Below are 16,638 nucleotides of genomic sequence, written 5' to 3' on the forward strand. Positions count from 1 at the left end.
CTCCAATTTTAAGCAGTTGCCAATGATCAGTCCTTAGTGAACACAGGTTATGGTGAGCATTGTGCTTTGAACAGTCCTTGGGTCTTGTAACATGTTTCACATTTCACTGGTGCAACCAAACAAGAGCAAAGGTATTGCCATTTCCACCTGGTCTTCTCCATGTCTGCAGAGAAAGATTGGAGGTGTGGCTGTCTGCAGGCTGTCTGTGGAAGTGACACATGCAGGCAGGCAGGGGGCATCCCTGCTCCTTGTCTCAACCTGAGATGTACTTACGTGAAAAGATCGATGCATCATTACATTCCTTTCTATATTTCCCAAATTAATATATATGTGTATATATGTAAAATATAAAACAATAAGGAGATGTTCTCTCTCTCTCTCTCTCTCTATATATATAGATAGATAGGTAGATAGATAGATAAATAGATAGATAGCATCTCCTTATTGTTTTAACATACATTCCTTTGATTATTAGTATGACGAATTCTCTGTCTAAATACATTTAAGATAGAAAAAAGTAGATACTAGAGCTCATAGATGACCAAATATAGCCTTTTGCCTCTTTGATACTTGACTTTTTCTCAGCAATCTGTGCTTTTCTAAAAAATAAGAATACTTATTCCATATGCCAATACTATTAGAATGTATTCAGAACAAGGTTGAGGCAAGCAGAGATGTAGGAAGAGGGCAGATGATAAATGGGAGCAGGGCTAAAGCTTTCTTTGCAGCAGACTCACTCACCGTACACACAAACGTAAGGGAATGCATATATTGGCAGCTCTGTTGCTGGGTACCTTCAGTCACCTCTCTGGACCTCAGTTTTCCTACCTATAAAATCAGGGTATTTCACCAAGTTGCAGACTGCTAATGCTAGAGAAAACTTTAGAGAGTATCCGGTTGACCTTGCCCATTATAGATGTACCACTGAGGCCTGACTTTAGAAGAATGTGCTGCTGTGTGCTACCACTGAATGTCCCAGTAGATTGTTGTCTCCCTGCTATGGTTTGAATGTCCCCCAAAATTCTTGTGTTGGAAACTTAATTGCCATTGTAACAGTATTAAGAGATGGGGTCTTTAAGAAGTGATTAGGCCATGAGAGCATGACCCTCATGAATAGATTAATGCCATTATTGCAGGAATGGGTTCATTATTATGGGAGTGGGATCCTGATAAAAAGGATAAGTTCAGCCCCATTTCTGTCTCTGTCTTGCATGCTCACTTCCAGCTTCCGCCCTTCCATCATGGGGTGACCCTCACTAGATGCCAGTGCCATGCTCTGGGACTTCCTGTCCACCAGAACCAATAGCCAAATAAACATTTATCTCTATAAATTACCCAGTCTGGGGTATTCTGTTATAGCAGCAGATAATGGACTAAGACACCTTCTAACTTTCGCTCCAGCATTTTGTTGATTTCTGGACAACCTGTTTGTCATCATACACAGAGCTAGCTGTGGCTACTTTCTTAGTTATTTTACCCATCAAGAGTGCTAATATATCATTCAGTTGATCTTAAAAAAGCTCTACTTATGAGGCAAAAGTTCTACTCTTTAAAGTGATCAATAGAATCATGGCATAAGGGATTTCTTAATCATGAGTAAACTTAGGGATGGAGCCCTCCTAGGGCTAATTTAAATGGAAGAGCAGGTAATAGTTCACTTGGGTTCATTTTCTAGTTTTTAAAATGCCATTTCTTTTCTAGCAGAATCAATGTTTAAGCTATTAACCCAGCTCTCACCAGACATTTTTCTTGTGGTTTGGCTTATTCTGGTTGATACTTAAGTCTTCCCAAAGGGAAGCACCAGATCATAGGCATGTGCTCTGAGACCCTGGTGCAGGCACCATGGAGGCTGTGGTGGGGGCCTGGTGTCACAGGGAGGAGAGAGGGTTTGGAGGCACATAGGCCAGGGCTGGCATTGCAGAGCCACATCATCTCATCATGTGAACCTGAGGTTGGGGTCTCTGAGTCTCATCTGGGAAAAGGTACAATAAGAGAAAAAGTTTAAGCAGCCTGACATAATCTTCCTGATAGTCCTGGTGGGAGTGTAAATTAGTGTCACCTTGTGGGAGGGTAATCTGGCAATGGCTACTTGAATTAAAAATGCCCATACCCTTGACCTGCAATTCTGCTTATAGAAATTTATGCTTCAGGCCAGGCGCGGTGGCTCACGCCCGTAATCCCAGCACTTTGGGAGGCCAAGACGGGCGGATCACGAGGTCAGGAGATCAAGACCATCCTGGCTAACACGGTGAAACCCCATCTTTACTAAAAAATACAAAAAATTAGCCGGGCGTGGTGGTGGGTGCCTGTAGTCCCAGCTGCTCAGGAGACTGAGGCAGGAGAATGGCATGAACCCAGGAGGCGGAGCTTGCAGTGAGTGGAGATCTCGCCACTGCACTCCAGCCTGGGCAACAGAGCGAGACTCCATCTCAAAAAAAAAAAAAAAATTTATGCTTCAGATTTACTTGTGTATTCAAAATGACTTATCTGCAAGGATGGTCATTGTAGCATTGCCTGTTATGTCAAAACATTTGAAAGCCACCTGAATCAAAAAAGGACTGACTGGTCAAATAAACTGTAGCATATCCATTCAAGGGAATAGTCTGCAACTATTAATAAGAATTAGACAGCTCTATGATAAATGATTTGGAAAATTATCTAAGATGAATTGTTAAGAGAAAAGTCTAGATGCAGAGCAGTAAGCATATAAATGTTCTTTGTGTAAAAAAGAATATGTATAAACATGCTAATGTATTCATACAATCTCTTTGGAAGAATATCCAATAAAGTGGTAATGGTGGTTGCCCCTGGGGAAGACTACTAGAGAACCTGGGAATGCCACACAGTTACTCAAGTCCCAAAGTAGACATTTATCATTTATCCTCAATTCATCCTCCGTCTCCTCCCCTCCCCTCCCCTCCTTTCCTCTCCCCTCCCCCTCCCTCCCTCTTTCCTTCCTTCCTTCCTTTCTTCCTTCTTTCCCTTTCCTTTTCTTTTCTTTTTCTTCTTTTTGCTTTCCAGTTAGTCCAGTAGCAGCTCCTGTCAATTCTCCATCTTCTTGTTTAGATACACCCACTTCCTTCCCTCTGCATTCTGCCATCCATCCCAGACCACTGAAATAGCAACACAACGGGGCACCCTCCTTTCAGTCTTGACCCTTTCTAATGCCATCTCCACCCAGCAGTCAGTGTCATCTTTTGGAAACAAACTCTCCCATGGCTTTCTGTTGCAACCACAATAAAACCCAAGGGCCATGCTAAGGTACCTAAGACCACCTATGATGTTGGTACTCCTAATTTCCAACTTCATCTTAGCCGTACTGACCACTTTCTGTTCCCCAAATCAGCCCTTCCTGCCTCTAGGCCCTTAACTGGATGTCCCCGTTCCTTGAAATGTTCTTCTCCAAGCTTTTCCAGAACTTACAAGTTTCCAACCTTCAAGTTTCAGGGTCTATGTCCTCACCAAGAATAATGTCCAAGAACAGAATGGTGTTCTCGCCAAGTTTCTCCCTGCCTTTGTCATGATCACTCTGGTTTTTCTCTCTTAGCATGTATCACAGGTTGTAATAGTTGGTTGGTTAAAATCCCGCTACTGGATTTTAAGCCCTGTGAGGCTAGGATTCTTGTATATCTTGTCCACCTTATCCCCAAAGCCTGGCTCAGTGCCTGCCATGGAGCAGAGGCTGAATCCGTAACTGCTGAATAGATGACCACCTGGATGAATGAATAAAATTGGAAATGAGTCCACTTTGGACTCTGGCCTGGAAGGTGGCTGGAGGGCCAGCTCCTCTGACAAGGTAGATTCAGAATAGACCAAGAAAGCCAGCTACCTTCACCAACCTTGTTTACAGAAACAGAGGCTCTCGGCTGGTCCTAGCTTACGAAAAACAGCTCAGCCCTGACTTGCCCTGGATCATAGTGGTTAATACTTATCTTGGAACAAAATGCTCAGTGAACCTTTGCTTTCTGCCCTTGGCTCTGGCTTTCACGGATCCCATTTGGTGCAGGAGTTGGAAAACTGGTCTTCAGGGCACCACTGTGGCCTTGTCATTGCTCCCAAAGGTGAGCAGGGAGCTTTGCTTCAGTCCCAGGCTGTGTCACTTAGTAGGTGGCTGATCTTTAGTGAGAGTCTTATCTCCTGGAACCTCTTTTATTTTTTTTCTCCCAAACATATCTATTCTGCTTTTGTATAACTGGAATTAGCACAAAATTACCATGAGAAAATGCTGGCCTCGGCCTTATTCTTGGTCCCTTTAGGCTCTCATGTTCTAGAATTTATTGATTCACTCACTTGTTCCTTTAGGGTTTACTATGTAAGGACCCACTTGATCCTTACCACATGCAGAACTCTGGGTCATACCAAGATATTGTCATGGGTCAGGTTCTGCACGGAGAAAGTTGATTGGGAATGAGGATTGCAGGGCTGGGCCAGCGGAGAAGTGCAACCACAATGTAGTCTCAGCAAAGACTTCAGCTGATTCCAGAGCAGCTCTAGGTTTGGGATGGTTGTTTAGAGTTTTCTTGAATTGAGCCAGAGGGGCTAAGCCTTCCTACTCCACATTGTCCAGTTGTTGGGTACAGACTGCCCCTGGGAAGAGGATGTGACCTTGGACCAGGGGCTGTATTCAGCTAAGGCAATTCTGGAGAACTGCCAGCATTTCCAGCAACAGGGGAAATGCTCACCTCGGTCCAAGAGGAAGGATCTGGGCAGAGCACCGTGCATCTTCTGCACATGTTTCCTTGGCCTTGCAGAGATGGCAGTACCTGTCTTGCACTTGTGGTTCTAGGCACATTTGAATTCTAGTCCTGGCTCAACCATGTACTGGCTGGTCCCTGGACAAGCTCCCTCTCCTCTGTAACTGAGCGATGTCTTGTACCTGGTGAACTTTCCTCACAGTTAACTGTGGGATGCTTTGCATGGTTGTAGAGGGCCTTAAAGTGAGAGAAAGGACTTTGATGTGCTGAATATAGCAGTAAACACTCACCCACACATCTTGGTGGGAGCAGAGGTAGGCTTGAGTAGATCAGACACCAGCCCAGGTGGGGTGTGGTAGTGCCACATAGGCTGTGAAGAGCAGTACAGTCCTGGGACAGCGGGACTGCCATTCATACAAGGCACTGCTCTCACCTCCAATTGCCCCATGGATGGCTGGTCACTACCCTCCTGTTTCCCCCAAGAATCATGGGCATGCTTCCTGTGCACCACCTGACTCTGCCACTCTCTCCTTCCAGGTGACGCAGAAGTTCTCCCTGGTGATTGTGCAGGGCCACCTGGTGTCAGAAGGGGTCCTGCTTTTTGGCCACCAACACTTCTACATCTGCGAGAACTTCACACTGTCTCCCACGGGTGATGTCTACTGTACCCGTCACTGCTTATCCAAGTGAGTTATCCACTTCTCCCAGCAGATTCTTCCCTGAGCCCCATTCATCCTTACCAGCCGCCCCCACTATTCCCCTTCTCACCTTGTTCTTACAGTGGGCTTAGATTTGGGCCTGAAACTGAGCCATGAGATAAAACAGAAGGACCTGCAGGCATAGGCCATCCATGGCCATGGTTCCCCTAAGCAGTGATCAGGACTGGGTACTAATGTGGCAGCTCCTCACATCTCCCCTAATGTGGAATGTCAGGACTCAGGGATCAGTCCTTCAATTATTCGCATGGCTGAATTCAGTCGCCGTCAACTTACTCACTCAACGACATGTTAGTTGCTCATTCTGCGTGAGAAAACAGGCACCGCCCCTCTCTTCCGAGGGACTTAATGCAATCGGCAGCATGCACAGGTTCTTTCAGAAACTGTTGGCCACACACTATGGTCGTGGGACAAAATCTTCAGGGTTCAGGCTTGGAGGGATGGCCTGGGACTGGAGTGGTGGGGAAGAGCTACCTGAGGAAGGGATCAAGATCTGGGTTTTGCAGAATGGGTGAGACTTGGGAAGAAACTTGAAGTCATTTTTACACAAGCAAATACAAGAGACCTTTGGCAGGAAATGCCAAGTTCTTTAGGATCAAGTGCAGTTGGTCTATTTGGGTACAGTCAGCCCTTATTGTGCAATTCTCCTGTGTTTATGAAGTAAGGCCATTCAAAATCAAATTGACTGAGCTTTTGCCAAAAGTCCAGTTGTCAAGTGTATGTTTTCACTTGATCATTGTCTTTGAAGATATTTGGATGAAGAGTTCTTCGTGCAGAGATAGGCCTTGCCTTTTCCAGTTGACCCAGGTTCAGATAATGACAAGATGACTTCTTAGCCCAGTCGCTCTCAAACTAGCTGACACCAGCATAGCCTGGAGGGCTTGTTAGCACACAGATGCCTGGGTCCTGCCCCACCCTAGTTTCTAATTCAGTAGGTCTGGGGCAGGGCCTGAGGTTTAGTAAGTTCCCAGCTGATGCTGATTCTATTGCTGGTCTGGGACCACACTTTGAGAGCTACTGTTTTAGGCTGCTGACTGAGGAGTCCAAGTCTTATCTGCCAATAACCAAGAACTTTAACTTCCAGTTGTCCTATCACTTCCAACCTATGTAAGGAAGAAAGAGTTGAAGGAGTGCGGAAGAGTAGATGTCAGCCCACCTTGGTTGATTTAGATCAAAATGCTTTAAAATGCTTGGCATTTTTCTCTCTGCTAATTTCCATATTTTATTCATACCAAATGTTCACCGATTGCTGTGAGTCTTCTGTGCTTCTCCAAGGCAGGAGAAGCATAATTAATACTTGGCTCCTCATCCCATCTTATTGCTCATGTTTTATTGATACTGATCAATATGGACAATGGGCCTGCAGCCGTGCCTCTCTGAGAGCGGATGAAAGCTTTCTACTCTATCCATATGCACGGTGTGCCCCTGTGATGACTCACATAATCCACTGCTGTGCTCTTCACCTCTGGTTTAGATAGTGTTAGATAAGATCTTATTGATTAGGTAAATTGTGTTTATGAGGTGTACCTAATCATGATCAAATTCACTATATCTGCACTTTTAATAGAAGCCCAGTGGTCAGATTTTATGTACTCACTTGATTTGCAATGACAGACAAGGGAGACTTCTCATGTCTGAAAATGTACTTCTCTAGAATGCAAGCAGGAGTAGAGTGAGAACAAATTACTACCCTGGAATTGCACTGGGGAAGTGCCCAGATAGTTTTAGTCACCATACCTCAAAGAAGCATTTGTTAATCAGTGCTTTCTCTCCAGGGTCTCATCTGGTGCCCTAAGAAACTACTAGCATTCCTGGAGATGCAGTTCTGAGACAGACTATTAGATCATTCCAGATCAATGGGGATTAAGTCTTATTTTGACCATGGAGATTAAAGAAGATACATAAATAAACTTGTTAAAAATAAAGCTAAGTCAAACCTGAAATGTTTCTGTAAAAGACTGCTATGGAATTGAGTCAGTTGCACATTAGACCTTGAAAGAGCCTGTCCGATGTACCATAAAAACATCCAAAATCAGACTCAAGAACATTACAGACTCCTTGACAGTGACTGGAATTTGCACTTTGCACTTTGGAAATTTCCTCAGAAACTAACAGCCTTCTGAGAAGGTTAGCTTTTGCTTGTAGTAAGTCCCTTTCTTAGCTGATTAGGGTGGCTGTATTCATTTGCTAGGGCAGTCAAAAACTGGGTGGCAAAAAACAAACAAATGCACACACACAAAAAAACAGAAATGTGTTGTTTCATAGTCCTAGAGGCTGGCAGCATGAAACCAAGGCAAGGCCATGCTTCCTCTGACTGCTCTAGGGAAGCCTCCTTCCTTGCTTCTTTAAGCTTCTTGTGTTTGCAGACAATCCTTTGCATCCCTTGGCTTTGAGATGCATTGATTCAGGCACCTGGTCATCTTGTCCCTGTATCTTCACATCATCTTCCCTCTGTGTGTCTATCTCCGTGTCCAAATTTTCCCTTTTTATAAGGACACCAGTCAGGTTGGATTTGGACCCATCCCAATGGCTTCATTTTAACTTGATTACCTCTGTAAATATCCTGTTTTCAAATACAATCACAGTGTGAGGTACTGAGGGTTAGGATTTCAACATATCTCTTTTGGGGGACACGGTTCTACCCATGACAAGGGCATTCAAGCTCACAAGGCAGAGAATTTGATTAACTTAGTGGGAACCTAAGTCATCCAACAGGCTCTTTGTGATAGAGTATTTTAAATCAGATAATTCTTCCCCATCAGTGAGCAGTTTTAATGCATCATTTCTGTTTTATTCAGTTCAACAAATATTTATTGAAAATCTGTCTTATGCTCAGCACTATGGTGGACTCCATAGATGGAAAGAGTGAATTAGATGTGGACTAAATCGGGTAGAGAGTTTACAATCTAGTGAATGTTTCTGGGTATAAATTCCAGGTATAATTCTGGCAACAGTCAGGTAACTTCAAATGTGGGCCAAATCGAAGTATGTTTTATCCTGAAATCCACTTCTACTATCAAAGAACAGGTCAACCAATATCATAACTATCATTTATCTCACTGTGATTTATCTAGTCAGAATATTGACAGTTATCCTAAGCACATGGACAGTTTTTGCAGATCCTGCTGGCTGTTATGCTGACGAACTGTGAATGGCAGCCTCTGAACTATGGTAATGGCTCTACCCAAAGAATATGGATCAGCTGCCCCTTCTACCCAGTACCCTTGACTGCCTGAAATTCGATTCATTTTGTAGAACATGTAGGGTGTAGTATTGTCGAAGACTCCCAATCACAGCTGTGTGAATGTTACATATGATAGACCTCAATTTGGAAGTCAATCAGGGGAATCAATAATGTACATAATTTAGCTTTTCTGAGACTTTGGGTCTTTCTGAGGATCCATCCTCTATATGGCTATTCAGTTTCTACAAGCAGGAGGAAAATGACTATCTTTTCTCCTAAAAGCTCGTTACCATTTTCCAGAGCATTCTTCCATATGTCATCTGTGTTTCAGAGTCCTGAGTTGCAGAAACAGTCAGCACAGAGCAAACTGAAAGCAGTGAGCCAGTGGTAGAGCTCTGTAAAAGCTAGGGAGCATTTCTGCCTCCAGGGAGAAAAGGCACTATTGAAAGAGCATGGGTGTTAGAGTTGGAGGACCTGGGTTTGAAACCAAGTTTCACCTCTTGAGGACCACATGACCTTGGAAAAGTCTCACCTCTCTGGAATGCAGTTTCCTCATTTATGATATGGGAATAAAAATAAGTCATGGTCAGTATAAGGTTTCCTTATGAGGATCCAATTAAATAATGAATAGGGAAATGCTTGGCAGGCCAGAGAGCATGACAGTCACTTAGCAAACATGTCCTGAGCTCAGGGGAAGATACAGAGGACGGAGAGCCATGGGCAAAGACCTGCGCCTTGTAGGGTCTGCAGGGGAGAGAGAACAGCCAGACCTGCAGCTAAGGTATGGAGAATATTTTCTGTGGTTCCCACAAGCATGGGATGATGGGAGCACAGAGGAGTGGCCATGTCATCCCCACCAGTACCTTGACCTGGGATGCTGCTAGACCTAAGCCAAAGGTAGGAAGGAGAATTGTCTCTGTGGCCTTACTGGGAGTCAGAGATGTGTAGGAGCAGCTCAGCTGAGATCCAGATAGAGACATTAATAATGGACAAAGGACCTCAGCCAGCAGCCGGTTTGTATTAAAGCATCCTGGCAGAAGCATTCAGAACCAAAGCGGTGTTTTGTGTTTGATCCATCCTACCACAATGCGGCTTAGAGGAGAGGGCCTGGGAGGGTTGTTCTGAGAAGGGTCTGCAGAGAGCCTGAGTCTGCAACCTCAAAGCCCAGCTGTTCAGGGGCCTAAGCAAGGGGCTCAGGCTGTGTCTCACTTGGGCAGGCTTCCCTGCTGCCCAGCACAAGTCGAAGCTCTTAGTACTGCACATGCTGGACTGCCACTGACCATAGACTAGAGAATTCCCTCTGGGTCTGTGACTGCTTGGCCTCTCTCAACTTCCCCAAGAAGTGGGGCATGGAGGCTCCATGGGCTACATTGTAGGCTGGGCCTTGGGGACCACACTGGGAGCTGGAATGGGAGAAGCTGAAACAATTTCCTCACCCACTCCCTGTCACCTTAGGCTGGGGCTGGCAGGACCACCTTGGGGCAGGGGCCTTTGTAGCCCTTGGCTCTCTGGGCCTGTGGTTGGCACACAGGCTTCTTGAGGGCTGGCGTGCTTGGGAGGCCTTCGTTTCTTAGTCCTGGCATCTTATCAGAATGGCTGTGGTTGTATACACAATTTAAGATGACTACATGCCCCAGATGTTCAGAAATGTAACTGTCTATAACAGAAATCAACTTTATTTCTGAAGCTCCCATGTGTCCAGATGATGAAAAGCTTCATATGATTAGCTCAAGGCATTTCAGTTATTTCCAGTGTACAAATTGTTCTCTTTGGGAATAAATATTTGGACAAATTTATTATCCTCCCTTTCCCCTCCTCTCTTCTGCTTCTCTGGGAGGAGGGGTCACTCTGAGATCTTTCTGGAAAAGCTTCCTGCACACCCCTCATAACTCTCCAAGGGGCCTCATCTCGGGACTGCCTGATGCCTGCTGGAGGCATGCCTCTGTTCCTCCAGGTGCCCAGGAGGTGGGTCCCTCATCACACGTGGGTCCCTTCTCTGCCTTTTCAGTGAGTTCCTTATCACCTCTCCAAGATTGCTTCTCACTGCTCCAGGCCTGGCCTGGGAATTTTAAGATGCACTCCCTACATTTTCTCTGTCCAGCCTGGGTCTTGCAAACTGAATGAGCTCTGGCTTTCAGGAAGTTATTTCTGCTGTGTGACTGAGCAATCGCTTCAGAATTCAGTACACCTCTTTGTCCTGGGCTGGGTATACCCAGCAGCTCAGGCCTGTGCCTTTGTATGGTCTGCAGGGGAGACAGACCAGTCAGACATGCCGCCAAGGGGCAAAGGATATTTGCTGTGGTTCCTGTTAGCATGGATGCTGGGAGCACAGATGAGTGGCTATGTCATCCCCACCAGTACCTTGACCTGGGATGTGGTTTGACCTAAGCCAAGGGTAGGAAGGAGAATTACCACTATGGCCCCACTGGGAGTCAGAGATGTTTAGGGGCAGCTCAGCTGAGAGCCAGATAGCTCTCAGGGCTGCCGAAGATGTCAGGGAGACAGGCCAAGGGTCCTGAAGAGCTCCCTGGTTTGACACGAGACATCACTCTACAGTCTCAGTGAGAGCCTCACTCACCTCTGAAGAGACCTCATCCTGAAGGTTGCCAGGGCCCAGGCCAGGCTGGGCAGCCTCTCAGGATGCAGGCGCTGTGCAGATGAGCTCTAGGTGCTGTCCTCATGCCTTGCCAGCGGCCTCTTTGCCTTCCTCTGCTCCACTCCCTCCTCTTCCCTGTGGTGCCTGACCCCTCCTAACTCTGGTTTGCATTCAGTCTCACAGTCACCTGACTTCCCTCAAACCTCCCTGCCAAGTGCTCTGTACTCCCCAATCCTGCCATGAAGGGTCTGAGTCCTGTCAGTCCCTGTGGCAGCCACAGGCCACACCTGACTCAGTTACCTTGTCCAGCCCCTCAGCCCTGCCAGGGAAAGAGGTCATTCAATACAAAACGAGAACACCTGGGCAGAGGGACTAAGGTGTGTGGCACGGCAGGTATCCTGGGGCTGAGACTGTCACGCCTGGGCAGAGGTAGCTGGCACAGCGCCAGGCTGGGCATGGGGGAGCCAGGGAAGAGAGGCCACAGGAACCCACGAGGGCTCCTGGGCATGGTTTACAGTCACGCACAGGACCCATGAAGCCCTCCCTGCTGGCCCCCACTCTCACCCAGGGGCCTTCTCACCCCGACCCTCATACCCTTTGTCAGCATCATCCTGGAAACTGCGCCGTCATATTGCTGTCCCCTGGCCTGGTGAGGCTGGCACCCCACCCTGTTCCTCCAGGGCAGGGCAGCTTTCACGTGTCAGCGGCCAGTGCTAGAGCTGACATGGGCAAGCACTCAGCAAGGATTTCTCAGATGAGTAGGGCTAGCACACTGGTTGGCAGTGACCACCGCACTTCTCTGATGTGTCATTGGAAATGTGGGTGGAGCTGGTGGAGGGCAGGAAGAAGAAGAAGCCTGCACGTGTCCTCACTCTGATGTCTGAACATGTGCCCTGCATGCCTGTTTCCTTTTCAGCATCAGCGATCCGTTCATTTTCAACCTGTGCAGCAAAGACAGGTCCACTGACCATTACTCGTGCCAGTGCCACAGCTACGCTGACATGCGGGAGCTACGGCAGGCTCGCTTCCTCCTGCAGGTAAGCACACTGGGTGCTGGCACGCCTGGGGCCTGCGAGAGGCAGGGCCATGGGACAGGTGGTCCAGGAGCCATCCAGAGACACACCTCTGTGACTCTTCTTTGTGCCTATGCACAGCCCAGTGCCCTTAAGGAGACACCCGCAAGTTCCCTGGGCTTGTGGTGGCCCTGGTCCCAGGTGGGAGTTCTGACTTCTGCTCCACTCTGCAGTCCTTGCCGTTGGCTGTTGGGCCTTTTGCTGTGTCTTTTAGGATTTAGCTGCTTCGCTGTTTTGCTCTTGACACAGCCCAGAGCTGCCTTGGAGATTTAGGAATACAGGGCAGGACAGATACATTACCTCCCAGTAGAGCTGATAACTGGGAGTAGAGTGCCTTCTGCCCTGTCCTGCCCACAGGGGTAAGACCTCCCTTGCTGACATACTCTCCCCCTTTCTCCCCAAGGTGCTCGCCTATTGCCAAGCTCCTGCTTGGCCCTGTTTCTGGGGCCAAGTGGTTTAGGGATCTCCCAGCTGCCCCCTCCAACCAGGATCTTTCAGTGCCTCACCCATGCCTTCAAGGGCTTAGCCAGGCATGCAACAGTGATGGTGGCTCCTTTCAGAGGAAAAGCTCAGCCATAAGCTGGTCATAACCTCCCACTTCTCATCCCACTTCACAGATAGATCACACTTTCTAGAAACATCACCTGAGCAGCAAAGGGAGTAGGGTAAACTTCAGGGGCCCCCAGTGACATCAAACACATGTTGCCTTCATTACCCCAAGCTCAGCAATAGCAAAGCTGCATCCCCAGTCCCTGGGCCTCCAGGGCAGCTGGCAGAAAAGGGGATCCTAGGGACCACGTAACAGGAGGGTCAGGATCTCTTCCCACCCTCTCTACAGGATCACTTAGTTCCAAAGGCCAGCAAGAGAGCAGTGCTTGGCCTAGATGAACTAGACATTTTTCATTTGTAAATCTATTTTCTGTACGTAGGTCATTGATTCATCCAGTGACCCCTCCTGCAAGAGGGCTCACTATCATTCTCTGAAACTGAAGCTCAGGGTGGCCTTTAAGGTGGGGGAATTCCTGAAAGGCCCCAGCTGCCCTCCTGTCAAGGGTTTGCCAGCAGCTCCACTCTAGCCCTCTAATGAGCACTCTTCCTCCCTCTGCTGCTTTTGCCTGCAACACAGTTAGTTCTCATTTTGCCTGAGCTTCCTGAGGGCCTTTGCAGGGTGAAGGAGCAGGAAGAGCAGAGTGGAAGTAGCAGCCCTGCCCTGATGGTTCTGGGCAGTGCTGCTGGTTCTGGGCCAATCTCCACCTCAGCTCTGCCACATTAGCTCCTGTGGGCACCTCTCTGGTTTCCTTGCCCTTCAGTGAGCGGGAGGCCGTGTCCTGCCTTTCCACTATTATACATACAGCACTGAGTACAATTTTAGGCACAAAATAGGTACTCAAAATTATTTTTTATGATTATATGTCTACCTCACATGTTATATAGAGTAGCAGATAGGTATCAGTCAGTGGGGTTTTTTCCCCAAGTACATGGTGATTGTTTCCAGAGGGTTGGTTCACCTGAAGTGGTGGAAGCCAAAGGGAGAGCTTTTTGAGCAAGGCCACCATTTGTCCATCCCTGGATTCTCCCAGGAGAAAGGCAGAGCTTGGCACTCAAGGTATCCAGGGCAAGCTGTACCCTCCACAAATTCTGCATTCACTTCCTGTTTTGCACATTATTTATATTTCTATTTGTAGAAAAAAATCCAAGAGTCTCCTGTTCACTAGCAGAGGAGAGAAGGTATGCAACATCCTTGCAGATACCTTCTCTCTGCTCAGGAGAGTTAATGAACTGGACTTTGAGAACTCACTTCCAGCCAGGTAGATGCAGGACAGGACTCTGCTATTGGGTGCAGTACCCACCTCTGAGTCTGAATCTTACCCCACCCCATCCTTCCCTCCATGTACAGGTCTCTTCTCTCCCTAACTCTCCCTTCAGCCCTGGGAATTCTCTCTCCTTGGCCTCATCTCATCCCTGAGGCTTATCTTATAGGTAACTCACTCTATCTCTTATTCCAAGTTTATTATTTACATAGCTTGGAATAGAAGGGAGTTAGAGAGGAAACAAGGGTGGGAGAAAAAAAAAGAAAAGATAGTTATGTGAATTTAATTTAGGCATTAAGGAAATACCCCTGACAAAAACTTTACTATGCCAGTGGGGCCACATCAAAATGGCCTCGGCAGGGGACCCTGTGCTGCTTAAGTCTGTAGATCAACCCATGATGCTGCCCAGCTGCACGCACTGAACTAGATTCCCTAGTTCAGTTTCTGGTAAGTTGACCCCCTGGCTCACCCATGCCATAACTCAGAAGTGAAAAAGTCTGAGGATGGCATGGGTGCTTTCTCTCGTGTCTGCTTCACGCTTGCCCTGGGAGTGGACCTTTCGCTTCCTGCTTCAACAGAACTCCAAGCTGTGGTCAGGCCCCCTGCCCTCCCACACATTCTGCAGAAGCACCCCATCCCTGTCACCAAGGTCTTCCTACCATGGGAACTCAAAAGGACGACCCAGGAAGGGTCTTCTGACACGGAGACCCGCAATGACCCATTTCCAGCAGCTGTGTCACCCTGGGGCGTCTCTAGTCCACAAAATATCAGGAGCATTAAAAGGGGCTTCTCTTCACAGGACATCGCCCTGGAGATCTTCTTCCACAATGGATATTCCAAGTTTCTTGTCTTCTACAACAATGATCGGAGTAAGGCCTTTAAAAGGTAAGAGCTTGAAAATCCTCCTTCTGAGGAAACTGATCCTGAACTGAGAGCAGAGGGGCAGAGAACACTCAGCTCTGTGCTCAGGAAAAGTGTTCTCAACCCACAGTGAACGCCACTCAGGCTGGGCCCAGGGAGGCACTGCTGGCCTGCAGAACTGCCAAGTCATGAAATGATGTACAGGAACAGGCAGAGAAGGCCCTTCCTTCAGTCCTAGGAAGCAGGCTCCATTTTCCTGAACTGAAGTGGCATAGAACAGGAAGTGAGAAAAAAATTACGCAGCTACCACAGAGTTAAGGAACTGGCTGTTTAATGGGCCTTCCAGAATGTTCTGGCTTTATTTTCTAATTTTCCAAGTAATTTTTTTGGCTTAATCTTTCTTTCTGATCCCAGTTGCCAATTTTAGTTGCTCCAATTTCATATTTCATTGGAAGGAATTCCAAACAACTGATTTCCCACATGTGCACTGAACATGTTTTTCTCCAGATGGATCAGTTTAAGAAATCTAAGCCAGTGTGTAAGTTCTTAATACCATGGTTATTTGTTTTTATTACCATTAAAGTTATAGATCAGTAGATTGGTTTGTAGTGAATCTAGAAAGAACAGAAAGGAAGGTCAGTTCCTCATCATTATAGACCACAGAGAGGCTGATTAACAGAGGGAGTGGTTATGTGCTGCTCCACATGGGCTGGAAGTTCTGAGGTGAGATTTGATATCCCCTGGCCAAGGAGCCCATTTTGTGCTCAGAAATTCAAGCCCTGCCTTCTAGTGGCCCTGTGGAACTGGCACCCAGGGCCCACTACTGCATCCAAGAGGCAGGGCCAGGGTGGAGAAAAACAACTGTAGAGAGGCTTTTGTGCTAGTTCTAGGCGCACTTCCTTGGACTCAGGTGAGCCTGCTCATGCGGTTCTTCCATGCTGCTGCTAGATTGCCCCCTAAAATTATATTCAAGGCCTAGTTTAGACCAAACCAAACAAGCAGACATACAACCCATTAAACTTGATTCATTTCCCCCTATGGTTTCTGTTCATTAAACAAAGTTTTTCACAGTTGATCTAGAAATCTTACACCTCCATAGCTCAGGATGTGAAGGTGGCCTAATGCAGACTCCACAACCACTACCCACTCGGCTCAAGGAGCCTGGCATTAAGATGGCATTTGTCCTCACAGCAACGCACTGGAATGTACAGCAGGATTGTTGACATTGGCAATGTTGTCAACTGCCTGGCCCAGAGGCGGTACCTCACACACACTGCCTAAGTAATTATTGTTTTATTGTTGTCATTGTTGGTATTAAGGCAATAGTGTGTAATGCCAGAGAGTGCTGAGGGTTGCCTCAGAGGTACACCCAGGCCTGGTGTTCACGACCTGGGGGCAGGATGGAGCGAGGGGGAGCAATAATGAGCCTAGCTTCCTGCCTGACTCCGGAAATGCCTCTGCAGCAGGAGAAAGGGTCTTGACTCTGCTGATGGAATTATCCCTTCCCTTTTCATGTAGCTTCTGCTCTTTCCAACCCAGCCTGAAGGGGAAAGCCACCTCGGAGGACACCCTCAGTCTAAGGTAATGGCGGGTAGCCATGCTGTCTGGGCATGGCACTGCCCTGGCTTTGATGTTCCTCCTCTGCCTCATCCCACTCTAAAGAAGTCTTGCAGAGAGCATGCCCAACAGTTTCCCTCATTTTT

At 47.3% G+C, this 16,638-nt stretch overlaps 1 protein-coding gene across 9 annotated transcripts in view, besides 1 other annotated feature; it reads left to right on the forward strand.

The window, feature by feature from the left end:
• WDFY4 (WDFY family member 4) overlaps positions 1–16,638 on the forward strand; it is a 298,084-nt gene that overhangs the window by 200,475 nt on the left and 80,971 nt on the right. For all 9 annotated transcript variants that reach the window (XM_011539988.3, NM_001394531.1, XM_017016463.2 and 6 more), the window contains 4 exons: positions 5,232–5,380; positions 12,107–12,227; positions 14,874–14,959; positions 16,454–16,516. In XM_011539988.3, coding sequence (XP_011538290.1) covers positions 5,232–5,380; positions 12,107–12,227; positions 14,874–14,959; positions 16,454–16,516 — 419 coding nt within the window. The remainder of the gene's footprint in view (positions 1–5,231; positions 5,381–12,106; positions 12,228–14,873; positions 14,960–16,453; positions 16,517–16,638) is intronic.
• Positions 11,971–12,731: an enhancer, noted in NCBI's record as "H3K4me1 hESC enhancer chr10:50105363-50106123 (GRCh37/hg19 assembly coordinates)". NCBI's record gives its function as "activates a minimal SCP1, AML or CMV promoter by ChIP-STARR-seq in naive H9 embryonic stem cells {active_cell/tissue: H9 hESC(naive)}" and the evidence as "EXISTENCE:reporter gene assay evidence [ECO:0000049][PMID:30033119]".

This window comes from Homo sapiens, chromosome 10 (assembly GCF_000001405.40).
Source record: "Homo sapiens chromosome 10, GRCh38.p14 Primary Assembly".
NCBI lineage: Eukaryota > Metazoa > Chordata > Mammalia > Primates > Hominidae > Homo > Homo sapiens.